This window comes from Homo sapiens, chromosome 16 (genome assembly GCF_000001405.40).
Source record: "Homo sapiens chromosome 16, GRCh38.p14 Primary Assembly".
NCBI lineage: Eukaryota > Metazoa > Chordata > Mammalia > Primates > Hominidae > Homo > Homo sapiens.
In genome coordinates, this window is record NC_000016.10 from 48,559,125 (window position 1) to 48,586,486 (window position 27,362).

General features: G+C 38.9%; 1 protein-coding gene and 1 pseudogene across 3 annotated transcripts in view; both read right to left on the minus strand.

Annotated features, from left to right (window-relative positions):
• Positions 1 to 27,362, minus strand: part of N4BP1 (NEDD4 binding protein 1) — a 71,455-nt gene that overhangs the window by 20,399 nt on the left and 23,694 nt on the right. For all 3 annotated transcript variants that reach the window (XR_007064930.1, XM_011523482.2, NM_153029.4), the window contains exon 2: positions 1,630 to 3,320. Coding sequence is in view for 2 of the 3 variants with exons in the window: in XM_011523482.2 (XP_011521784.1) it covers positions 1,630 to 3,320 (1,691 nt within the window). In the remaining variant the exon portion in view is untranslated. The remainder of the gene's footprint in view (positions 1 to 1,629; positions 3,321 to 27,362) is intronic.
• RPS2P44 (ribosomal protein S2 pseudogene 44) lies at positions 18,360 to 19,268 on the minus strand (annotated as a pseudogene).

The following is a 27,362-nucleotide window of genomic DNA, read 5'->3' on the forward strand; positions in this document are numbered from 1 at the left end:
GGTAATTGTTGAAGGTGGGTGATGAACCCCTGGGAATTCATTATCTTATCTTATGTATTTGAAAATCCTAATAAAAAATTTACAAAACAAAAAATTACAAATATACTATAAACATATATTTCAAAAATAACATTTATTTTTCAATCCTAATAGGTATTCTTAAAAACTCAGGGCATTTACTGATCTTTCAGAACTCCTAAAAAAGAAGTTACACAAACATTCAGCAATTCAGAAAAGTATTTTTAAGATTTGGCAACTTCTCTCTCATTCCATGTCCAGGTGTCCTGTTTCTTGAATTGCGGCTACTTAAAATGCCAGACCTTGAATATTTCTTCAAAAATCAATGGTGTTAAATTAAATTAAATTTGGCCTAAAGGTGCCTCCATACATAGTGACCTGCAACCTTAGTATGTGAACAAATGGCAACCTAAGAGTATTCTTGTAAAAAAAAATGGCTGAGTCTCAGCCAATCACAGCAGCCAAGCTTCAGCCAATCACAGGCTGCCAATTGTTCAGACCACTTCTACATAAGGCAAATGCCTCATCACAGGATGCCTGGATAAGGCAAATGCCAACCCGTAGGTAATCAAGCTGTTTCTGCAGGGCAATTCCCTTTTCTGCCTATAAATACTGCCAGCCCTCATTGCTGGGTGAAGCTCTCTGAACCTCTCCTGGTTCAGGGTGCTGCCAGATTCGTAAATCATTGTTCGTGCAGATCAACTCTGCTAAATGTAATTTGCCCTAAGTTTTTCTTTTAACAATGGGGTGACTGGTTTTGAAAACTGAAGGCAGACTTTACATAGTTGTTGAAATGATATGGTAAAGATGTCCTTAAGGACAGGTCAGAAGGCAACAGATTGCAGCAACTGAAACTCCGAACAGTTAAGTGACCTGCCCCAAATCAAACAGCTGGTCCACAGTGCAGGGAGGCTCTTGACCCTCACACTCTCCTTAGCCACGATCTTAAACTGCCCCTTAGAAAAAAAACCCAAGCGTACAGGTTTCAAATCAGAGGATTTTCAACTAAGAGGAGTTCCAAGACAGGCTAACTAGAAACAACAGGTTCATTAAATGATGTCTTTTACTAAAAACAAATATTATAAACTTTTAGTAAGAGCAGAGGCCCACAGTGAAGCTCAAAGTGACTACTTTTGAAAGGAAATTGCCATTGCTCTATCCACAGAAATACATCACACCTGTTACCACTGCACACTCTTGGCTAGAGATCAGGCATACTCCAGCATAATAAGATAAAAAAAAATCCTTTTGCTTTAAGCTGTGTTCTCTTATTTAGATTAGAACATAATGGTACTCACAATATTAAGAATTTAATGACTTAAAAGTCACTATACTACATATCACTGAGCAATGCAACGTGAAAAGATAATTTTCTATCCTCTCTTGCCCTTAGAAATTAAGTTCAGCAGGGTGAAGTAAAGTTCATGAATCCAGAAGATGGACTGACAAAACCTTTCCAACCAGTTGGTTCCCATTCCCCTCCACCATCCGACCCTAAGGCTACAGATCAACTATATACAACATGTATGTATAGTTCCCATATACATGTGATTCTGAGACACCATTTAGAGCCCTATTTAAAATAAAATAATCTGCAGAGAATGGACTTACGTAATTGCAACATTGCTCCCATCTATAACAATGTGTTTCAAATCCGTTCTCCCTGGTTCATTTTTTAATTCCAGCTTGTAGGGTATTTTTAGAGTATCTCGAAACCTTTGAACCCCAGTAACTGAGGAATCAATATGATCAGAAGGTCCTGCCGACCTTGCATCAGTAACCGAAGGTAACAGCTGGGGCAGTGGCATTGGTGGAGAAAGGGTTGAGCAATTTGGCTTAGAATGAGGAGAACTACAACATCCTAAACGTTTTTCACAGGCAGATTTCATATTATTTGGAAGCAAGGGTTCTGGCTGCTGGTGTAAACCATTTTCAGGAAAAAGTGGAACTCTGGGCTGGTGACTTGAAGCTCCCCTTGAAACAAAATTGACTTCTTTGGGACTTGGAGAGGCAACAGAAGGTGAAAGGCCATCAGTTTCAGGGTCTGTGTTACAAATGTAGTTCTGGTTTGAACCCCAGACTTCATGTTTCTGTTCTATTGGCACTGTTCTGAAAGTATTAATTCTACAATTTGAGGTACATGGTTTAGCTTCCACTTTGAATGGTAACTGAGAAAATTTTTCTACCATATTTTGCTGTGTGTGAGCCTGTGTTTTCTTTGGAGTGGAATCAGTTGTAAGCTCATTTGTGCTGCTATAAACACCTTTATTTTTGGTTTTGTTGGTCTCTGGATACACTGTACCAGCTGAAAATTCTCTGTCTTCTTGGAATCTTTTATTTTCTTTTTCAATTTCCTCTAAGAGCAATAATGGTTCAGTAGATGGTCCATACACCTTAATGACCTTTTCAACAATTTCTTGGGAGTAGCCCATGGTTTTAAAAAAGTTTACGAGGATGTTGTATTCCATTTCCTCAGTAGTTTCTTTTATATCTGGACTTAAATTTTCAGAATCAGCAGAAGAATCAGATAGGTCAGCTATTACATTTCCAGCCAATGTCTTAGCATCGTGTAAAATCTCCCCCTCCTGAACATTTTCCAAAGAAAACTGCTTCTTCGTATGCCTTTCTTCAGAATCAGAAAATCTCCTTTTCTGACAAATTCTCTCATTGGAAAGTGCCTCTTCATCTGGGGTTAGACCATTTATTGGATCAAAAAGCACATCTGGTGAGCTAGAAAGGACTGTGTCCATTTGTTTTGTAAGCTCAGAAACAGGAGTCCCAGCTTTATTTCTTGCCTCTTCCTGCAAAACAGTTTCATCTCTAGAAATATTCAGCCCTGTGGCAGCATTCTGTGTAAACTCTGTTTGTTGAGAATCTCTCATTTCAATAACCTCATCATCTCCTGTTTCAAAGAGATTCTCCTCACCTTGTGTGAGTGTCAAAAGTTCTTTTTTCAAGGAAGTGGGCAAAATCAACAAATCCATTGTGTAATTGTCTGCATGGGCTTCAACAAATTGTTTGAATTCCCTTTTCACCTCTGATTCTTTCTGACTACTGGGTAGGTTCTCTTTATTTTCAAAGAGCTTTACAAATTGTTGAATGTGACTCCTAGCCATGACCACAGCCTCAGCACTTCCTCTGATGCCAAGAAGGCCAATGTCCAGAATGCAGAGGTCAGCACAAGTATCCTGAATCAAGCTTTTCAGAAACAGGCTCTCTGCCCCAACAAAAATGCAGTGCATGTCCTTGGGGTAACATTCTCTTTCTTCTAGTTCAGGTTCACAGATTCCTTTAATATATTCCTGTAAAGAGAAAATAAGAAATTAGGTCAATTTACAAAAGTTCCTTATAGCACATAATAAATTACCATGTAACTACAAATGTCAGGCCGATTTTATAAAAATCACAAGCATGTTTGTAATTTTGAACAAAATGTCATGTTTTAAATAAAACATTGAAAATAACAGATATAACTTGCTTAAACCATCTTTAGAGGAACTGAAAACTCTGCATCCAAATCTAAAAGGTGGGTATTTTGTAACATTTTATGCAATGTGATCTTAGGGATTTGCTGAGCTACACAGTGAATAATCCCAAGGCTGGATTTATTTACATCTCTAATGAAAAGACATCTTTGCTTGCTACCAGTAATTTATTACTTCCATGACATAATCAAGAGATAAGATAATCAAATCAAGTGATTGACTACAGAACAAATCTTGACTTTTGCTACTATTACCCTTGGTTTCCAGATTTCTTGAAGGTATAAAAGAATAACATTAATTTTTTTTTTCAAAGCAAAAGCAAGTTTATTAAGAAGCAAGAATAACATTAATAAAAAATTTTTTTCCAGCTGGTTGAAACAATCTATATCCTGTATGATTTTCTGTCTGTTTTCTAAAGAAAACCAGACTGTTAAATTAAATGCAGATCTAACAGAACAAGTGAATGCTGGACAGTATTGGTGTTCTCAGATGTTGGTATTGAAATAAAAAATTTAAAAAAAAAAGTTTTCTTTTAATTTAGCCTGGGCAACATGGTGAAACCCCATTTCTACAAAAAATAAGCTGGGAATGGTGGTGTGTGCCTATAGTTCCAGCTACTTGGGAGGCTGAGATGGGAGGATCGCTTCAGCCCAGGAGACTGAGGCTGCAGTAAGCTGAGATCATGTCACTGCATTCCAGCCTGGGCCAAAGAGCGGGACCCTATCTCTAAAAAAAAATTTTTTAAATTTTTAATTGACAAATAATGATTGTATATATATATATAATTTTTTTTTTTTGAGATGGAGTTTTGTTCTAGTCACCCAGGCTGGAGTGGAATGGCGCGATCTCCCAGGTTCAAGCGACTCTTCTGCCTCAGCCTCCCAAGTAGCTGGGATTACAGGCATGTGCCACGACACCTGGCTAATTTTGTACGCTAGATGGGGTTTCACCATGTTGGCCAAGCTGGTCTTGAACTCCTGACCTCAGGTGATCCCCCTGCCTCCACCTCCCAAATTGCTGGGATTACAATTAGTTGCTACTGATTGAAACAGTCTATATCCTATGATTTTTTTGTCTGTTTTCTAAAGAAAATCAGACTGTTAAATTAAATGCAGATCTAATAGAACAAGTGAATGCTGGCGTGAGCCACTGTGCCTGGCTGATTGTATATATTCATGGGTTACACAGGGAAGTCTCAATACATATAATAATGTATAGTGATCAGAACAGGGTAATTAGCATATCCATTTCAAACATTTAGCATTTCTCTGTGTTGGGAGCACTCTATATCCTCCTTCTAGCTATTTGAAACTATATATTATTGTTAACTGTAGTCATTCTACAGTGATATGGAACACTAGAATTTATTCTCCCCAGGGAGCTGTAATTTTGTATCTATTAACAAATCTCTCCCTATCCTTCCTAGTCTCTAGTAGCCTTCTATTTTCTAATTGTTTTTTTACTGTTGAGTTTTGAGAGCTCTTTATATATCCTAAGAGTCTTTTGTCAAATATGTGGCTTGCAGATATTTTCTCCTGGTCTGTAGTTTGTCTTCCCATCCTCTTAACAGGGTGTTTTGTGACAGCAAGTTTTTACTTTTAAGGAAGTTCGGTTTTTAGATTTTATTCTTCACCAAGCCTGGGGTACTGAAGACCTCTCCAATGTTATCGTCTAAGTTTTACATTTAAACCTATGATCCATTTTTAGTACATTTTAAAAGAAGGTGTGAGGGTTAGCTTGAGCTTCACATTTTTGCCTATAGGTATAATATTGCTCTAGCACCATTTCTTGAAAAGGCTATTCTTTCACTACTGAATTGCACTTTTGTCAAAAAATCACTTTGCCATACTTGTGTGGAACTACTTGTGAGTTCCCTATTCTGTTCCAATCTGTGTAAATCTATCCCTTCATCAAGACCACACCGTTTTGATTACTGTAACTCTATAATTTCTTAAAATTGGGTAATGATTTGCTCCCTCTTTATAATTTTTAAAATTGCTTTAATTATTCCAGTTCCTTTGTCTTCCCATACACATTTTAGAATAATTTTGTCTGTGTCTGCAAAATATCTTGCTGGAATTTTATCAGCAATTGTGCTGACAATTATGTGTCAGCAAGTGACATGAATCTGAGCATAACTGACATCTGCTGAGTCTCCTGATCCATGAACCTGGTATTTCTCTCCATTTATTTAGATTTCATTTGCTTTCTTTCATTAGCCTTTTGAGTTTTGAGAATACAAATCCTGTACATGTTTTGCTAGATTTCACGTTTTAAGAATTTTATTTTTCTGAGTGATTGTACAGTGTTGTACTTTAAATTTTGGTTTCTATGTGTCCACTGTTAGTATATACAAATATAATTGATTTCTGTATGTTAATCATGTATCTTGAAACCTTCCTGAACTCACTTATTCCTATTGAAAGTTCAAGGATCTGTGTGTATGTGTAGTTTCCTGGGGAATTCCTACACAGACAATTGTATCATCTACAAATATTTCTTCTTTTCTGATTTATATGCCGTTTATTTTCTTGCCTTATTGCAGTGGCTAGAAGTACAGCACTATGTTGGCGAGCAGTGGTGAGACTGGGTATGCTTGCCTTGTTAATGATCTACAGGGAAGCACTCAATCTTTCTCACCATTAAGAATGATGTAACAGGGAAAGTTTTTACCAACGTTCTTTATCACATTGAGGAAGTTACCTATTCTCTAGGATCATGAATATGGATGGGTGTTGAAATTTGTCAAATGCTTTACTCCATCAATTGATATAATCCTGTGATTATTTTTCTTCCTAAGCCTGTTAATATGGTTGGTTACATTGACTTCTGAATACTGAACCAGCCTTGCATCCCTGGAATAACCCCTACATGATTATGGTGTATAATTCTTTCACATATTGCTGAATTATATTTGCAAATATTTTGTTAAGAATCTATACGGACTCTGGTCTACAGTTTTCCTTTTTGGTACTGTTTTTGTCTGCGTTTACCATCAGAGTAATACAGGCTATACATGAGTTAGAAAGTGTTCTCTCCTCTTGCAGTTCTTGGAAGAGACTGTGTAGAATTGATGTTCATTCTTTTTTAGACATTTTGTAGAATTCTCCAGTGAAACAACCTGGGCCTGGAGATTTCTTTTATAGGGGTTCAAAAATTATCAATTCGATTTCCTTAATAGACAATTTTGAATAGCCTTATAGCTATTTCATATGAAGTGAGTCATGGCAGTTTGTGCCTTTTGAGGAATTGGTCCATTTCAACTAAGTCATCAAATTTATGTATGTAGAGTTGTTTGTAGTTTTCTTATCTTTTTGATGTCTGCAAAGACACCCTGGTTTCATTCCTGATATTAGTAGTTTGCAGCTTCTCTCATCTTTGTTAGTGTTGCTAAGAGACTTGTTGATTTTATTGATCTTTTCAAAGAACAAGCTTTCATTTCACTGATTTTCTCTATTGTCAGTGTTTTCAACTTCATTAATTTCTGCTCTTTATTATATTTTCCTTCTGCTTGCTTTGGGCTTATTCTGCTCTTCTTTTTCTAGTTCCTTGAACCTTAAATTATCAAGACTTTTCTTTTCTTTCTTTTATTATTATTATAGAGGCAAGATCTTGCTATGTTGTCAAGGTTAGTCTCAAACTCTGGGGCTCCAGCAATCCTCCCACCTTGGCCTCCCAAAGTGTTGGGATTTCAGGCATGAGCCACTGGGCCCAGCCTCTTCTTTTCTAATGTAAGCATTTAAGTGGCAGAAGTTTCCCTTTCAGCACCGCTTTAGTGGCATCCTGAAACTTTGATATGCTGCATTTTCATTTAGTTCAATATATTTTTCAAAATTTCCCTTTGACTCGTAAATTTAGAAGTGTTACTTAGTTTTTAAGTTTTTGAAGATTTCCTGCTATCCTTCTGTTGGTGATTTTTAGTTGGATCTCTTTGTGGTCAAAACACTGTATGATTTCAATTATTTTAAATTTATTGAGCACTGTTTTGTAGCCCAGGATAAGGTCTATCTTGATAGTTCTATGGGTGCTCATAAAGAATGTGTACTCTGATGTTGTTGAGTGGGATGTTTTATAGATGTGTATTAGAACCTGGCTGGTTGATGGTGGTGCTGAGTTCCTCTAGATCCTCATTTATTTTCTGTTTAATGGTTCCATCAACTGTTGAGAGAAGGGTGTTGAAGTCTCCAACTGTAACTGTGGATTTATCAAGTTCTCCTTTCAGTTCTGCCAGTTTTTGGTTCACATATTTTGCAGCTCTACTGATAGGAATATAAAGATTTAGCACTGTTACATAATGTCTTCTTGAATTGACCCTCTTGCCATTATGTAGTGTCTCTCTTAATCTCTGGTAACTTTCTTTGCTCTGAAGGCTACTGATAGTAATATTGACAATCCAGCTTTCTTTTAAATAATGTTTGCATGGCACATGTCTTTCCTCCTCCTTTTACATTTTACTTACCTGTAATATTTGAATTCAGTTTCTTGAAGACACCAGATAATTTCATTATATGTTTTTAATCCACTGACGGTGCCTGTCTTTTAATTGGAGTGTTGATTTACATTTAATGTAATTATTGGCAAATCTGTCTACCATTTTACTTGTTTTCTGCTTGCTTCCTATATTTGATTCCTGTTCTATCTTGCCTTCTTTTGCATTATACAAACACTTAGTATAATAATTTACCTACTGCATTTTTTTCTTTGTGAGACAGAGTCTTGCTCTGTTGCCCAGGCTTGAGTGCAGTGGCACGCAGATCTTGGCTCACTGCAACCTCCATCTCCTAGGTTCAAGCGATTCTTGTACCTCAGCCTCCTGAGTAGCTGGGATTACAGGTGCACACCACCACACCTGGTTAATTTTTTGTATTTTTAGTAGAAACGGGGTTTTGCTATGTTTGCCAGGCTGGTCTCGAACTTCTGGGCTCAACTGATCCACCCACCTCAGCCTCCCAAAGTGCTGGGATTACAGGTGAGAGCCACCATGCTCGGCCCCTACTGCATTTTTATCTATATCTCTTCATATAGTTTTTAAGTGGTGATGCCACTGATTACAACATTCTTTTCACAGCCTACTTATCATCAATATTCTATCATTTCATAAAACTATACCACTTATATTAATCATGTTTCTTATTTTCTATATGATGTTTTGACATCTTGGGGGACCTTTCAGACCATGAGAGAGGCTGCCCCTTCCAGAGCCAGCTAATTCCTAGGGGTGGTCCCCAGCTTGTCTGGAGAATGCCTTTTAGGTGTAGACTGCTTGACCCAATGCTATGCTCCCTCTCATCTCTTAAACTCTCACATACCAAGCCAATATTTCCCCTGCACTAAATCAACCTAAGGCCAGGTACCAGACAACCAGAGACAGTCCCTACAGAGCCTATGAGAATTATTCAAACTATCTAATCCTAAACTGTTTACCTCACCCTGCCTTCCCTTTCCCACAGAAGCCCCAATAAAGTCTCTGGCTTAGGCTTTCCTCTGGCCTGCTTCTGCCTCCTGACCAAACCCTGATGCTTTCCCTGTGGTCCTGCATGGCATGGCATGTCCCCTTCTCTCAGCAAATGTAAGTAGTAAATTCTTTCACTGGCACTGACCCGTGTTGTCACCTCCATAAATTCAAATCCCGTTGGTAAAAATTTTAGGACACCAGCATACTAGTTTCTTTATTCCTGGGTTCCTTTCCTCTCTCCCAATGTTAGGTTACAGTGATCTCATACATTATATTTACATGCATTTGAAACCCCATCAGACAACATTATAATTTTTCTTTCAATGTATGAAACTCATTTTAAAGAAATCAAGAGGAGAAAGTAACCTATTACATTTACCCAGATATTTACCATTTATATCTGAAGAACTTTCCTTAGGAGAATACCTAAGGAATAGACTGTTCAGTGTAGACTATGGGCAATAATTTATCTTTAGTTTTTCTTCAACTGAGAATGCTTTATTTCATTTTCATTCTTGAAGGATAATTTCACTGGATAGAGAATTCTGGGTTAACATTTTTTTCTTCCCCAGCAAACTGAGAATAGAAGAAAATGGGTTAACATTTCTTGTCTTTCATCACTTAAAAAATATTGTGCCACTTTCTTCTGTCCTTCGCAGTTTCTGATAAGTCACAGTCATTTGAATTGTTGTTCCTCCACATGTGGTATGCTTTTCTCTGGATGCTTGCATGATTTTTACGTTCTCAGTTTTCAGCAGTGTGCTTTCGATGTGTCTGGGTGTGCAAATCTTTGGGTTTATTCTGGTTGTGTTCCGTGAGCTTCTTGAATCATCATGTTTATATCTTTTGCCAAACTTGAAATGTCTTCAGCAGTTATTTCTTCAAATACTTTTTCAGCATCACATGCTTTTGCCATTTGGTTCCTCTATCTTCTATTTCTTTGCTGAAACTTACTTTTTCTAATGGTTTTAAGAGTATTTGGGATTGCCTGTGGAGTGTTTTCAGTTGCCGGTTGAATATTTCAGTCTTTTGTCAAATAATTGCAACATCTATGTCATCTCAGCACTGCTGTCTTTTCCTATAAGAGTTGAGATTTTCCTACCCCTTTATATGCCAATTTTGAATTATATCCATTTTGAACAATGCAAAATTACGTTTTGAAACCTTCAATCTTGTTTAAATCTTACAAATACTGAAACTTTTGTTTTAGCAGATAGTTGACGTAATTAGATTCAGGCTGCAAGCTGCAACCTGTCTTCTGAGCTGTGGTTCCAATATCAGTTCAGTTTTCAAAGCCCTGCAATGCTATTATTTAATTTTTATTTTTGAGACAGGGTCTTGCTCTTGTCACCTAGGCTGGAGTGCAGTGGTGCCATCATAGCTCACTGCAGCCTCAACCTACTGGTTCAAGTGATCCACCCTCCTCAGCCTCCCAAGTAGCTGAGAACACAGGCACATGCCACCACGCCTGGCTAATTTTTGTATTTTTTGAAGAGATAGGGTTTCTCCATGTTGCCCAGGCTGGCCTTGAACTCACCGCTGGGCTCAAGCAATCCACCTGCCTTGGCCTCTCAAAGTGCTGGGATTATAGGCATGAGCCACCATGCCTGGCCTGCAATGCTATATATCTATCCCACATGTATGCCACTGTGTAGCCATTCTGGGACTTGGATGGTGGTCTTTTTGTTAATTCAATTCTCAAAAGCCTTTCTTATGCTGATGAGGAACAGATCCATGCACGTGTACCTTGGGGATGAGCCAAGGGGATCATGAACAACTTCGTGGCTCACTTTCCTGAACTCCTCCCTCTCTGCCATCTACCTGGTGCTTTCTGGTTTCCTGGGGCTCTCCCTTTGGTCCTCCACCTAGAAAGATGGGGCTTTTAATTAACCCACTGCCTTGTACCTCTGCAACTGGGCTTGGATCCAGCTAGGACACACAGAGAGAAAAATCAATGGAGACCACAACTCCAATTAGAGAGAAAGGTTCTCCTACGTTGGAATTTTGGTTCCTGCAAGCTTCGATTGCCACCACATGATTACTTGGGGCTGGGTTACATGAGAATAAAGAAGAAAAAAAAGGGGTGGGGGTGGGCTCACTCTCGGTTTTAGATGTTTCCTTTTCTGTCCCTTGGGCTGAAACCAGAAGGCTTTTCCTGGTGTGTCCTGGTGCCCATTTCCACTTCCAGGTGGAGCTGTGTTGTGTTCATGCTGGAGGATTAATGAGGGGAACAAATGGTAAACTCACTGCTGGTTTGGTGATACTTTTTCTTTTCTTTTTTGAGACGGAGTCTCACTCTGTAGCCCAAGCTGGAGTGCAGTGGCATGATCTCGGCTCACTGCAAACTCTGCCTCTGGGACTCAAGAAAATTCTCATGCCACAGCCTCCTGGGTAGCTGGGACTACAGGCACGTGCCACCATGCCCAGCTAATGTTTTGTATTTTAGTAGAGATGGGGTTTCACCATATTGCCCAGGGTGGTCTGGAACTCCTGAGCTCAGGTGATCCACCCATTTCGGCCTCCCAAAGCGCTGGGATTACAGGCATACGCCACTGCGCCCAGCTGGTGGTACTTTAAATTCTGGTCTTTGTTCTAAATCTGCCTGCTATTATTTATTTTTCAGGGCCCTCAAATAGTTGCTGTATGCATTCTGCCCGGGTTTTACTGCTGTATTCAGTAGGACTGACAGGGTGGAGTATGCTTACTCTTTTTTTTAAATTGATATAATATTCAGCAATCTTGCTAAACTTTTTTTGAGATAAGAGTCTCACTCTGTCACCCAGCCTGGAGTGCAGTGGCACTGAGTTCAAGTGATTCTCCTGTCTTGGCCTCCCGAATAGCTGGGATTACAGGTGTGTGCCACCTCACGTGGCTAATTTTTCTATTTTTAGTAGAGACAGCGTTTCACCATGTTGGCCAGGCTGGTCTAGAACTCCTGGTTTCAAGGGATCCTTCTGCCTCGGCCTCCCAAAGTGCCGGTATTAAAGGCGTGAGCCACTGTGCCTGGGCAGCTTACTCTATCTTATCCAGAACTGGAAACTTCTTGCCTGTTAATGTAAGTGATGCTGCCCATCCAACATGAGTAAGTGAATAGATGAATTCACATGGGTCAAATACTATTGAGATTACTGTGCAGACACTTGGATAAGGAAAAGTTGATCATATCTCCTCCGTGGGCCACCAGCAACAACCAGCCAAGCTGAAGAGGAGAGATTTATTCTCCAGATGAAAGACCCTCAAAACAAATGCTCCCTCAAAAGGGGCTATTGCTATATCTGACCCAAGATAGAGCCCACCTAATGACAGATTCTGCCCAGATACAGAGCTTCCATTTCAGATTTAGTGTCAAACATCAAAAGCACCCACGCTGGAACAAAGGCCTGAATACAAAAGATGGAAACCAATTAAGCAGATCACATGGAGAACTGCAGGAAACTAGGTAATGCAGGTCACAAAAGAAAACCTTCACAAAATTTTAGTAAGTGGTTTCAAACAGATATAAGATGAGACTGAACCCACAGAACAGGAATCAGGATGCTAAAAGAAGGGAAAGGAAGGAAGAAAAAGAAGAGGAAAAGGAAAGAAATCAGAATAGAAATGTGGGCAAATTAAGAATATGATGGCAAAAATAAGAATCAATAGAAAAACTGAAAGACAAAGGGGAAGAAACCTTTCTAAAAGTACCATGAAAACAAAGAAACGGGAAAAATAAGGAAAGAGGCCTTAAAGGTCCACCTAGGATATCCCAAATCCAAATAACTAGCATTTCAAAAAGAGAATGGCAATTAATACAGAAGTAACATAAAATCATTTCCCAGAACCAGAATACACAGGAAGCCTGGGTGAGGTCACGAGCCTCTAATCCCATCACTTTTGGAGGCTGAGGTAGGTGGATCACTTGAGGCCAGGAGTTTTGAGACCAGCCTGGGCAACATGGAGAAACCCCATCTCTATAAAAAACACAAAAATTAGCCAGGCATGGTGGCATGTGCCTGTAGTCCCAGCCACCCGGAGACTGAGGTGAGTGGGTCACTTGAGCCCAGGAAGTCGAGGCTGCAGTGAGCCATGTTTGCACCACTGCACCCCAGCCAAGGTGATAGGGTGAGACCCTGTCTCTAAATAAATAAATAAAATACATAAGAACTCAAGCATAATTAGTGGAACAATTACAACTTTCTTGGAACGAAAGGACAGAAACATCTTGAAAGGGAAAACAAAATACCTAGGCATGATTATTTTCAAAAGTCCCACAAGAAAAATCCTGGGAGCAGGGTGGGAACAGGACATACAAAAGAATGACAGTAAGAATGTCACAAATTATCAAAAGCAATTCTGGATGATGGGGGAGGGGGGACAGGCAGGCAGTAATGTATCCAAAATTCTAAGGGAAGATGATTTTCAATCTATAATTCTATACCTATCCACATTACATATCGCATACAATATAGAATAAAGACCCATAAAATTACTCCTATGGATTCTTTTCTTAGCAAACAGGTATCTGACAATGAAATTCACCAAAATAAGGGAGATGAAATAATTAGTTATACAATCCAAGAGTGGCAACTAGAAGTCCAAACATCATAGCTATGCAGCAGACAAGCCGAGGAACCAGTGGATTGGAGGAGGGAAGAGGATTTTAGAGTTGTTCTCCTCAAAAGGATGCTAAATAGAGATATAAATAAATACTTATAAAGTATTAAGGGTAGATATAAAACACATTTCACAAGTGGATGAAAACAGGGCAGATACAAATTTCAGGAAAGGCTTGGGCGTGGTGGCTCACATCTATAATTCCAGCACTTTGGGAGGCTGAGGTGGGAGAATCACTTGAGCTCAGGAGTTTGAGGCCAGCCTGGGCAATACAAAAAGTTAAAAAATTAGCCGAGCATGGTGGTGCATGTCTGTAGTAGCAGCTACTCAGGAAGCTGAGGTGGGAGGACTTGCCTGAGCCTGGGTACAGGCTGCAGTGACCCGAGATGTGCCACTGCACTCTAGCCTGGGCAACAGAGCAAGACCTTGTCTCAAAAAAAAAAAAAAAGAAAAAAGAAAATTCAGGAAAAAATTAAAAGTTGTACCAAAAAACCCCCATAAATGTAGTACAGTACTTGGCGCTGCACTGGGTAACTAAAAAACATAACTATATTGGAAAAACTGGGATAGTTTTTGTCTCATTTATCTTAAAGAAAGTGAATAATGCCTACAATTGATAAGAAATAGCAGTACAGGCTGGGCACAGTGGCTCACACCTATAAAACCAGCACTTTGGGAGGCCAAGGCAGGCGGATTGTTTGAGGTCAGGAGTTCAAGACCAGCCTGGCCAACATGGTGAAACCCCATCTCTACTAAAAAATACAAAAATTAGTCGGGCATTGTGGCACACAACTGTAGTCCCAGCTACTCAGGAGGCTGAGGCAGGAGAATCACTTGAACCTGGGAGGCGGAGGTTGCAGTGAGCTGAGATCATGCAACTGAACTCCAGCCTGGGTAACAGAGTGAGACTTTGTCTCAAAACAAAAAACAAACAAACAAAAAAAACCCCAGCAATATAGTTGACCCCCAAACAATACAGATAAGGGGTACCGACACTCCCCCAACACAATTGAAAATTCATGTATAACTTTTCGACTCCCTCAAAATTAACTACAAATAGCTTACTGTTGATTAGAGGCCTCACCAATAACAGAAACAGTCAATTAATATAATTTTGTATGTTGAATGTATTATATACTGTATTCATAATAAAGTAAGCTAGAGAAAAGAAAATGTCATTAAGAAATTCATAAGGAAGAGAAAATGTGTTTACTATTCATTAAGTGGAAGTGGATCTTCATGAAGGCCTTCATCCTTACCTTCACTTTGAATAAGCTGAGGAGGAGGGGGATTGGTCTTGCTATTTCAGAGGTGGAAAAAAATCTGCATATAAGCAGACCAGTGCAGTTCAAACCCACGTTGTTCAAGGGTCAACTGCTTATGATTTATAATTCTTTAGGTAACCATCAGAACAAACAGCTAAAAACAATAAAAAATAGTTGCCTCTAGGAAGTTAGGGAGGCTTAGAAGCAAGGAACTGCTGCTGTACACATAAATCTTTTAGTACTACTTGATTTTCTGTTTTAAACCATGCGTATATATTATTTTGGTACACTTCCCACCTTCTACTTTTAATAAAAAAATTTTCAAGTGGATGCATAACATGCTATGATGTGTCGCTGATAGTTTTGGCCCTAATTTTAAGTTTTGCTTGTTTCTTATCTGACATTTGAGATAAGGAATGTCAGCAGTTATGAAATATTGAGTAATTCATCCACAAAACAAACATTTTCTATTACCTCCCTGTTACTTTTCTGGATTAGTTTAATTGAATATTATTATGCAAGAATAGCTGCTTGAAAATGTTAAATCTATAACTAATTGTATGACTTCAAATGTTCTCCATACTATACAACCAAAATAAAACGTAAAATTAAACTGGAGGTTGAGACAGATAACTGCAGAAAGACCAGTGAACAACCTTAATTTTTTGTCATTTTTTAAATGACAATCACAAAACTCCCGACATTTTAATCAACTTAAGTCAGTATTATATATTTGAACTTACAGAAATTTCATACTAGAAAATACTCAATCTGAGGTATTATTTACCAACAAATCCATTGATTTCTCATAGCATATACAACAATCTTTTCACAGAAAGTGATATTCAGGGGAATATGTTCAGACATTGTTTGGGTTACAAAATTAAGTAAGAGTCAGATCCTCTGAAAGCATCACAGAGGGCCAGAGGAGAGCTCCTGGGTCTCCTGTGCTGGAAGTGTGGAAGTACTGGCAAGACTGGCAGAGAAAGGCTGACCACAGACAGAGTTGTCTGACAGTATTCCTCATATAACTAAAACTAGTATTACAAGATGAACTGCATAGTTTTGGGAAAGAGCTGTGCAAAATGCTTATGACTGCTTCACATGCACAAACCCATTTTTTTTGGTGTCCCCAAAACAATTATCCCCTAAGATTCAGATTTCAATAACAACTTACTCTTCTGAAGTACTGAGTAGCAACAACGGATTATTATATTCGAGTTCAGAAGTGAACAATAAAGTATACAGCATTATTAAGTTTGAGATGTTTGGCCACTACTTACACTCATAAGAAAGATAATGCAGTCCAAATATCCATCATTTGAATTGGCTGTACTTGGTATCTGGACATTTTTAATGTTAGTTAAAAATATCTCCCCCATCCTACAATGTTCTTATTCTGTTTTACTTTACTCAGGCTTTTAAGAAAAAAGGGGGAGGGGCATGATATACATGATATATAAGTTAACTTTCTTTTATGTGGTACATGGAATTTGTATTATTCTACCTTTTATAAACTCAGTTTTTCTCAACTCTATCATAACATTTCACAAATCCAGAGAGGAGTTCCCGGCAACTTCTACCATTCAAAACACAGCTAAAACCAGAAATGACCAAAGCAGGGGCTCAAGAGTATGCAGGTTTGACCTGGGGAAATGTTTCTTCACACCACTACTCAGCATCTTGTACTTTTTAGTATTGGCATACACTAAAGGGGCTCGGCCAGCTTCACCCAGGCTGCATATTCTCAGAAGCAGCTGACTCTTAAGTGTAGAAGGGGCAGCACTGAGTGCTACCTGAAGAGCACACGAGAGCAAATGGCAATGGACAAACAGAGCGAAAAACAAATTCAAGGCAGACACAACGGTTAAAAACCACAGCAGCCCAAGACCAGCTACCATGGGGGTAGGTATGACATACTTGCCAGCTGCAAGGAGCATCACTCCACCATGGCACAACATAAGATGTTCAAGTCAACCACAAGTCACTGGGAAAAGAGAAACTACACATGCAAGGAAACTCAAAATATTAAGGAGGGATTTCTAAAATGGTTCAGACCAGTAGTTCTCAATGCTGGATGCACACTTTAGTATGCTATTTTTTTTTTTTAGGAGACTCTTTCATAAGAGGTGTTCTGTATTATCTCTAAGAGAAAAGGAGAATATGACTTTCAGACATTAACGTGAGTCCTACAGCATAAACATGAATTAGAAGTACCACAAAAGCCTCAGAAAAAAAACAAATTTTTAATCATTAATCTGTAAGTCTATAACAGGTCTATTTTAGGTCTCTAGCCATCTATATTAGTAAGATTGCTATCAAATTAATAATGCCTTTATTAGCCATTTTCCCCCAATATAATTTCAACATTTGCTGTCTGTTCCATCTTTTTCTTTAACCTCATCTCTAAAATGTCTATGAAGTTCATTCCTGGAAGGGTGCTTATCTGCCCCATAGGAAAGGACTTCCCTGCATGGTCATACTGAGTGTACTCCTAGAGACAGGACCAGCTGCCATACTGTGTCTACTCTAGACGCTATCCCTACTACATCTGTAAATCTCCACAATTTGACAGCTTCAAAAACTTCCAGCTCTCCTGATTTTTTCTTCACTCTTATCCAAAGAACCTCTTCAAGTTCCCAAATCTCATGTCTGTTGTCATTCTTCTCATTCTTAATAAAAAGTATATTTGATCAGAGCCCAGAAGTCAGTATGTGTGAATCCCTTTGACTTCTCCTCCATTTCATCTAAAAATTCTACCTTTCATGACTTCCTTCTCCTTCCTACTTTTTCAAAGTCATGTCTTTGCATTCTGCCTTATCTCAGGCTTCATCACTTCTCTGTTTACCCACTGCTGCCCCTCTGCCTACAAACACGCTTGGATTTCCCACATCCTACAGAAAGCTTCCTTCAAATCCACTGCTGATGCGTGGAACTACCCCATTTCTGTCCTTTCATCTTCACACTTTTATTTTAGAGACAGGGTTTTGCTCTGCTGACCAGGTTAGAGTGCAGAGGTGTGATCACAGCTCACTGCAGCCTCAAACTCCTGGCCTCAAGCAATCCTCCTGCCTCAGCCTCTCAAAGTGCTATGATTAAAGGTGTAAGCCACTAGGCCTGGCTTCACACTTTTTGAAAAAGGTAGCCCAAGCCCCATTTCACTGGCAATCCCTTGCCTTCCTCATCTGCCCCCATTCAAACCAAAACCACTTTGTTGAATGCCAACAATGATGACTAATGCCAAGCCCAAAGTCTCCTCCTTTGTATTCATTCTGCTTGGACTGTATGTAACATGACCAACTTCCCCATGACAAGTTCTTTCCTCTCCACTCTTCTGAGATACTTCCTACCTTTGACTAGTGCCCCCAGTTTTTGTTTTTTTTGTGTTTTTTGCTTTCTTTCTCTATTGCTCCTTAAATTTCCCAAAATTCTTTCCTGGTCCTCTCCCTCAACTATACTTTCATAGACTCTTCAAGCTGCAATCCTAAATTTTACTGTTCTGGTGATAACTCCAAATCTCCACCTTTAACCTCTAACATTTCTTAACAGGCATAATTCACTTTATTTTTCTTGTATAAAACCCCTATGTTGCAGCCACAGCTGCAGCCTGGGTCCTTTGCATGGAGACTCTGGTGTGGGTCTTGACGAGGTGGTCAGTGAATTCCTCATAGGGAGACTTGGTGAACACAGTCTTCTTCCAGAGGTCGGGGGTCAGGCAGCTGTAGGTCTTGGAGATGGCATCAAAGGTGGTCTTGGCAAAGTTGCCCAGGGTGGCAGTGCAGCTCCTGGCTGAGGTGTAGCAATCATCAATACCAGCCACCAGCAGCAGCTTCTTGGGTACCGGGGCCGAGATGACACCAGTGCCCCTGGGCGCAGGGATGAGGCGCACAAGCACAGAGCTGCAGTGGCCTGTCACCTTGCAAGGGATGGTGTGGGGCTTGCTGATCTTGTTCCCCCAGTAACCTCTGTGCACGGGAACAATGAAAAGCTTGGCCAGAATGATGGCCCCTCGGACGGCATCTCCTTGGAACACTTAACACCCACACTAGACGTGACCGTTCTAGTCCCTGAAGGCAACAAATGCCTTGAACCTGATGTGCTGGCTGATGCACGTGTGCTTCTGCATTGGCATAATCTTCAAAACCTCATCCTTGAGAGAGCCCCCAGTTAAAAGTCAATGATCTTAGACTCCTTGATGGGCAGGGAGAAGAGATGGATTTCCTCCAGGGACTTGATCTTCATGTTCTTGACCAGGTGGCCCAGCTTGGTAATGGGCATATATTTCTTGTCCTTGGCTGAGGCCCTAGCCCCAGATGCCAATGCGGAAGCCTCTGCAGTTCCTCATCCCAGGACCCCCAGGGGCTCTGGGTCGCACTCCTGCACCCCTTGCCCCCTCACCAGCCCTAGCTACACTGGCGTCATCCGCCATTTGATGTTTTCTCAAAGAAGAAGCAACTATTAACATTTTTTTAGGCTGCAAGACTACTCCCTGAGCACTTCCGCCTGGTTATCCCACACGTGCCTCAAACTTAACAGTTCTGAATCAGAGCTCACAGCTCTCTTCCACTCCATCCTTGGCCCAAGTTGCCTTTCAGTGATGTGGGCACTGAGTCTTGTGAACATGGCAACTAATTCTAAACTCTTCTTCCTACTGTCAGTTTTACCACACTCCACTCCTCTGTTACAGTACCAAAGTTCTGAAAACGTACCAATTTCACTTCCTTGCTCAAAAACTTTCTAAAGCTCTTCATCGTGTAGGATTAATGTTCAAGATTCTGAGAACAATATTCAAAGTCCCTGCAGTCTAGACTTTAATGTGCTTATTTCTATAACCTAGTTTAAACTTTTCTTCCTTCCACTCTAATCCAAAAGTACCTTCTAAGAAATCCAAAGTGTATTAATCTCTGCTTTCTATACGTAACAGTATCTTATTATTTAAACTATAGCATTTATCACAGCTCTATTAGATTGTAAATGTATTATATTAAGAGTGGGGACTGGCCTTGGTCATTTAACTATGGTTCTCAGCTAGGTGAGATTTTGCCCTTCCTTGGGGCATTTGACAATGCCAAGAGACATTTGACAATGCCAAGAGACATTGCTGGTTGTCACAACCAAGAGGATGCTCTTGGCAACTAGAGGGTAGAGGCCAGAAAAGCTACTAAATATCCTACAATACACAGTACAGCCCCCACAACAATGATCTGTCCAAAATGTCAGATGAGAAACCCTGAACTAATCAATAAATGTCTAACAAGAACATGTCAGAACAGGAATTAGGAGGTTCAGGAACACAGGCTGACATCCAGCCTAGTTATCAATGATGTGGTTAACATTGTTTAAGAGGGAAAGAATGGCCAAAAAGGGGGGAAGGGAGTTTCATTTTAGTAGTTTGAATAAAGTTAAATAAAATTATCAAATACTTCTAAATAAGGGAAAAGAATGGCCTTTCAAATATAAGGGAGTACTCTCTTAGGCCTACTCAAAGATTATTTAATTCTCTAGGAAATACACCTTTGCCTAACACATTATTCATTATTGGTTAGGGTCTAGACTGTGAAGCTATGCATTCAAATGTAGATTTCTGTCCAGTAGAGATGCCAACTATCTCAGTCTGCTAGAAAAATAACCCAAAAGGTTACAATGTTGTTGCTCTGTAAGATATTAGCCAATCTGTATCTAACCAAGCAACTGTATTCCAATAATAACCTTGAATATAAATAGAAAAAGAAAAATGACAAAAAAAAAAAAAGATCCAAGTATATGCTGCCTGCAAGAGACTCACTTCACCAGTAGGGTCACACAGACTGAAGGTGAAGGGATGGAAAAAGGTATTTCATGTGAATGGAAAACCAAAAGAAAGCAGGCGTAGCTATACTTATATCAGATAAAATAAACTGTAAGTCAAAAACTATTAGAAGAAACAAAGTCATTATAAAATATTAAAGGGGTCAATTCAGCATGACAGTATAACAACTATACATACATATATATATATATGTACACACTCAAATACATAAGGCAAATATTAATAGATTTGAAGGGATAGACTATAATACAATAACTGTAAGGAACATCAACACACCACTTTCAGTTCAAGACCAGCCTGGGCAACATGGCAAAATCCAGATGGAAATTAAGATTAGATTAGAAATAAATGAAAGATTAGAGCAGAAATAAATGAAACAGAGACTATAAAAATAGAAAATATTAATAAAATGAGTTGTTTATGAAAAGGTTTTAAAAATTCATAACCCTTTAGCTAGACTAAGAAAAAAGAGGAGACAAAATCAGAAATGAAAAAGTAGATATGACAACTGATACTGCAGATTTACAGAAGATCACAAAAAACTATTATGAACAATTATACACGAACAAATTGGATAACTCAGAAGAAATGGATAAATTCCTTGACACATACAACCTACCAAGATTGAATTAGGAATAGAAAACCTGAAGAGACTAATAATGAGTGAGACTAAATCAGTAATAAGAAGTCTCCTATCAAAGAAAAGCCCAGGAACTGATGGCTTGCTTCACTGCTGAATTCTACCAAACATTTAAAGAAGAACTAATGTCAATTCTTCTCAAACTCTTCCAAAAAACTGAAGAGGAGGAAATACTTCCAAATTCATTTTTGAGGCCAGCATTACCCTGGTACCAAAACCAGATGAGGATAAAACAAAAAAAGAAAACTGCAGGCCAATATCCCTGATGAACACAGATACAAAAACCTTCAACAAAATATAGTTGGCCTTCTCTATCTGTGGTTTCCGCATCCATGGATTCAACCAACCACAGATTGAAAATACTCAGAAAAAAAATTACATTTGTCCTGGACATGTACAGACTTTTTTCCTGTCATTATTCCCTAAAGAATACAATATAACTATTTATATCACATTTACATTGTATAAGGCATTATAAGTAGGTCAAGGAGGTCAAATCATCTCAAGATGATTTAAGTATACAGGAAAATATACATAGATTATACGCAAACACTATACCATTTTATACCAGGGACCTGAGTAGCTGCAGATTTTCATATCCGTGAGAGATCCTGGAACCAATCACCCACAAATGACAAGAGACTACTGTAATAGCAAAGAGAATTCAATAACACATTAAAAAGATCATTCACTATAATCAAGTAGGATTCATCCAAGGAATGCAAGGATGGCTGAACAAATACAAATGCAAATGAAAAAACAGGATACATTACATTAACAGAATGAAAAACAAAAGCCATATGATCAGTTCAATGAATGCCAAAAAAGCATTTGATAAAATCCCATGCCTTTTCATGATAAAAAAAAAAAAATCCCAACACTTCAACACAATAAATGCCACATATGATAAATCTGCAACTCATAACATACTCAGTGAAGAAAAATTTAAGGCTCTTCCTGTAAGATCTGGAACAAGACAAAGAAGCCCGCTCTTTCAATATGGTATTCAAAGTTTTAGAGCAATTAGGCAAGAGAAATATAAGACATCCACACTAGAAAGAAAAAAGTTAAACTGTTCCCAGATGACATGATTTTACTATATAGGAAACCCCTAACAGTCCACCAAAAAAACCCCCAGAATTATTGAATTCCATAAAGTTGCAGAATACAAAATCAACACAAAAATCAGTAGTGTTTCTAAACTAACAGTGAACTACTTAGGAATAAATTTAACCAAGGAGTTCAAAAATCTTTACACAGAAAACGAAAACACTGACAAAAGAAATTGAAGACACAAATAAATGGAATGATATCCCAGGACAATCTCTTCAATAAATATATTGGGAAAAGTATACAACCACATGCAAAAGAATGATATTAGATCCTTATCTCGCATCATATACAATAATCAACTAAAGATGGATTAAAGACTTAAAGGTTAAGACTCCAAACTATGAAACTACTAGATGAAAACATAGAGGAAAAGCTTCACGACATTGGTCTGGACAATGATTTTTTTAAAATACAACCACAAAAGCAGAGGCTACAAAAACAAAAATAGACTAACAGAATTACATCAAATAAAAACCTCTGGACAAGCAAGAAGCCAATCAACAGAGATTACCTACAGAATGAGAGAAAATATTTGCAAACTATACACATAAGAGGTTAATATCCAAAAATATAAAAGGAACTCAAAACAACAAGAGCAAGACAACAATCCAATTAAAAAATGAGCAAAAGATTTGAATAGACACATTTATCAAAAGAAGATATACAAATGGCCAACAGGTACAGTAGTGAGTCCCCCCTTATGTGTGGTTTCAGTTACCCTTGGTCAAGCATGTTATGAAAATATTAAATAGAAAACTCCAGAAATAAGCAATTCATAAAAATTTTTAATTGTGCCCTCTAAGCAGTGCAGTGAAATCTTCCGCTATCCAGTATTGGAATCATTCCTCTGTCTGGTATATCCACGCTGTATATACTACCTGCCCAACAGACAGTAGCTGCCTTGGTTATCAGATCGACTGTAGCAGTATCTAGGTGGCCATCTTCAAGTTGCCCTTATTTTACTTAATAACGATCCCAAAATACAAGAGTAGTAACGTTGGCAATTTGGACACGCCAAAGAGAAGCAATAAATTGCTTCCTTTAAATGCATAGATGAAAGTTCTCCACTTAATAAGAAACTAACTTTTATTAGAGTATACTGTTATAATTTTTCTATTATTAGTAATTGTCGTTAATCCTTTATTGTGCCTAATGTATAATTTAATCTTTATCATGGGTATCTACGTATAGGAAAAAAAACGTTGTATATATAGGACTCGGTACCATCCAAGGTTTTAGGTATCTACTGGGGGTCTTGGAACGTATCCCCAGCAGATAAGGGGGACCACTGTACATGAAAAAAATTACTGGCTGAGGGCAGTGGCTCATGCCTGTAATCCTAGCACTTGGGGAGGCCAGGAGTTTGAGCTCAGGAATTTGAGAACAGGCTGAGCAACATAGGGAGACCTCATCTCTATAACCAATTTAAAAAGTAGGTGGGCATGATGGTAAACTCGCCTGTGGTCCCATCTACTCAGGAAGCTGAGGTGGGGGAACTGCTTGAGCCCAGTAATTTGAGGCTGCAGTTAACTATGACCACATCACTGCACTCTAGCCTGGGCGACAGAGTGAGGCCCTGTCTCAATAAATAAATAAATAAATAAAATAATAAAAGAGAAAATGTTATATATAGTCATCCCTTGGTGTCCGCAGGGGATTGATTCCAGGACCCTTTTGCAAATACCAAAATATGGTAAATATAAACAATGGAATGCTTATCAGCCATAAAAAATAAAAAAAGGAAATCCTGGTATTTGCAACATCATAGATAAACCTGAAAACATGAGGTTAAGTGAAATAAGCCAGGCATGGAAAGACAAATGATGTATGTGGAATCTAAAAAAGTTGGTCTCCTACAAACAGAGAGAAGAATGGTGGTTATCCAAGGCTGGCACAGTTTGGGGAAGGGATTCTGGAGATGTTGGTCAAAGGACACAAGATTACAGTTAGATAGGAGGAATAAATTCAAGAGAACTATTGTACAGCATGGTGACTATAGTTAATGACAATATATTGTGGTCATGAAAAATACTAACAGAATAGATATGTGTCCTCACCACAAAAATCACATCTATGTGAGGCATGTTAATTAGCTAGCTTTAACCATTCCACATTGTTATGTACTTCAAAACATCATGGATACATAATAAATACAATTTTATCTGTCAATTTAAAAAATAAATAAATTTGAAAACTTCAAGTGCTCTCTGAACCATTTCTACATTCCTGCTGGTCCCTCATTTATGAGTTACCTGTCTGAAAGTCATGCTTACATAACTTCAAAAAAATTTTTACACTTTGGCAGTAGAGTAGTACCCACTCAGATGCCCGAAGGGACTCTCATCTGCTTGAGCTACTAAACTGAGTGTCCCCAGAAGGGCACTTCATCAGCTCCTTAAACCCAAGCATGTCTCATTTTGGCTCCCAGAGTACCAAGAGAATACCAAGCAGCCAGAGAATGTTACTTCTGCTGTTTCTCTGTTGTCTCCTTTTCTTCTGATAATGTGTTTTCGTTTGATGATTCTTAGCCACATGTCCCTGTCCACACTGGCCCAGAGACCAGTGGATACAAATCACTAGGCCAGTTTCAACTGCACCCTCTGTATACATGAATCTGGTCTATGCATGGCTGATAACTGATCTTGGCTAGGAATCTGATTTTATGGTCTGACCATATGGTGATCTGTCCGGTAGACAATAGGGATCTATTTTCTGTCAGATGAGACACCTCAAGAAAATCTGGTTTTAGTCTTTTCTGTGTTGTTGTTAGTGCAAGATCACGTTTCGGGACCAATGAAAGAACTGTCTTTTTGAAATCTGGACCAGTTATGTGTTTCTCAATTATTTTTACCTGTGATTCAGACTGTTGAAGCTGAAAGTTCTTGTGCACTTGTGACTATAAGAAAAGCCTCATTTTTCACGGTATGAATGAGAAATATCCCCAGGGCTATTAATACATTAGATTATAAAGTTTCTCAAACAATCTCTACTCTAGTTGGTTGACAGATAATTACAAGAACTTCCTTAACTCTATCTATATTTCTAGAATTCCTCCAACATAATGAAACTAAACATGTAATACTTTAAACATGTTAGCCTTTTAAGGACAAAAAAAAACAAACCCAGGCTGGGTGTAGTGATACATGCCTGTATTCCCAGCGACTTGGGAGGGTGAGGCAGGAGGATCATTTGAGCCCAGGAGTTCTGAGTCCAGCTAATAACACACTGCGAGATTACCATCTCTTAAAAAATAACAACAAATAGAAAAACTCCAAAACTCAAAGAAACCAATAGGTCAAAAACACTGTTAAGAATCCAAATTTGTGTAATCAAAATAATTCTCACGCAAATCAGTATTATTTTATTATTTTAATACTAATTTAAAAATAGATGTCCTTTCCCTGATTTTACCAGTGTAGAATATAATAAATCTATACTTTTTTCTTTGAGATAGAGTCTCGCTTTGTCACTTAGGCTGGAGTGAAGTGGCATGATTTCGGCTCACTGCAACCTCTGCCTCCTGGGTTAAAGTGATTCTCCTGCCTCAGCCTCCCAAGTAGCTGAGATTACAGGCACCTGCCACCATGCCTGGCTAATTTTTTTGTACTTTTAGTAGAGATGGGGTTTCACCATGTTGGTCAGGCTGGTCTTGAACTCCTGACCTCATATGATCCACCCACTCAGCCTCCCAAAGTGCTAGGATTACAGGCGTGAGTCACGTCACTCGGCCTACACATTTTTTTTTTAAATGTTTTTCTCACAGAGATTAAACTTCCTATACTTTACTGGCTTACTGATTAGGTAAGCTAATATTACTCATATATATTTATGATTATGAAAAATATAAAATTTGGCCCAGTGTGGTGGCTCACATCTGTAATCCCAGCAATTTGGGAGGCTAAGGCAGGAGGATTGCTTGAGCCCAGGAGCTCAAGACCAGCCTGGGCAACATGGTGAGACCCTGTCTCTATTTAAAAAAAAAATAAATGATTATATAAAATTATATGTTCAACTAAATAAAATTATAATAGTAACGAACTTTTTTTTTTTTTTTGAGATGGAGTCTCACTCTGTTGCCCAGACTGGAGTGCAGTGGTGTGATCTCGGCTCACTGCAACCTCCACCTCCTGGGTTCAAGTGATTCTCCAGCCCTATCCTCCCAAGTAGCTGGGATTACAGGCATGTGCCATCATGCCTGGCTTTTTTTTTTTGAGACAAAGTCTCACCCTGTTGCCCAAGCTGGCGTGCAGTGGCATGATCTTGGCTCACTGCAACCTCCAACTCCTGGGTTCAAGCAATTATCCTGCCTCAGCCTCCAGAGTAGCTGGGACTACAGGCAGACACCACCATGCCCAGCTAATTTTTGTATTTTTAGTAGAGATGAGGTTTCATCACGTTGGCCAGGCTGGTCTCCAACTCCTGATCTCAAGTGATCCGCCCGCCTCGGCCTCCCAAAGTGCTGGGATTACGGGTGTGAGCCACTGCGCCCGGCCAAACTTTTTGATACCAGAAGTTGGATGTTGCTCAGTTGTCAGTATAAGCATAACTTCCAAGATCATTAATTAACTTCAAGACTTTGGCTAGACTGATATTAATTAATGGTTACTCTTTAGAATATGTGATTAATTTCCAAGTAAGACAGACACAGAATTTTTCACTTTTGTTTAGAGATGGGTCTATGTTGTCCAGGTGGTGTGCATTCATAGGTGTGAACACAGTACACTGCAGCCTCAGAATGCTGGCCTCAAACCATCTTCACACCTCAACCTTCCAAGCAGCTGGCACCACAGGTGCACACCACCATGCTTAACTACCGAGTATATAATTTTACCACATACATACACATGCTCTTTTTAATATAACCACAATGTCATTACTGCACCCAGCAAAACACTTTCTTAATCTAATACCCAGTCTGTGTTTAATGTCTTTTTCCAGTTGTTTTCTCCTAATTACTCTGATTTTTTTTTCACCGTAACTACAC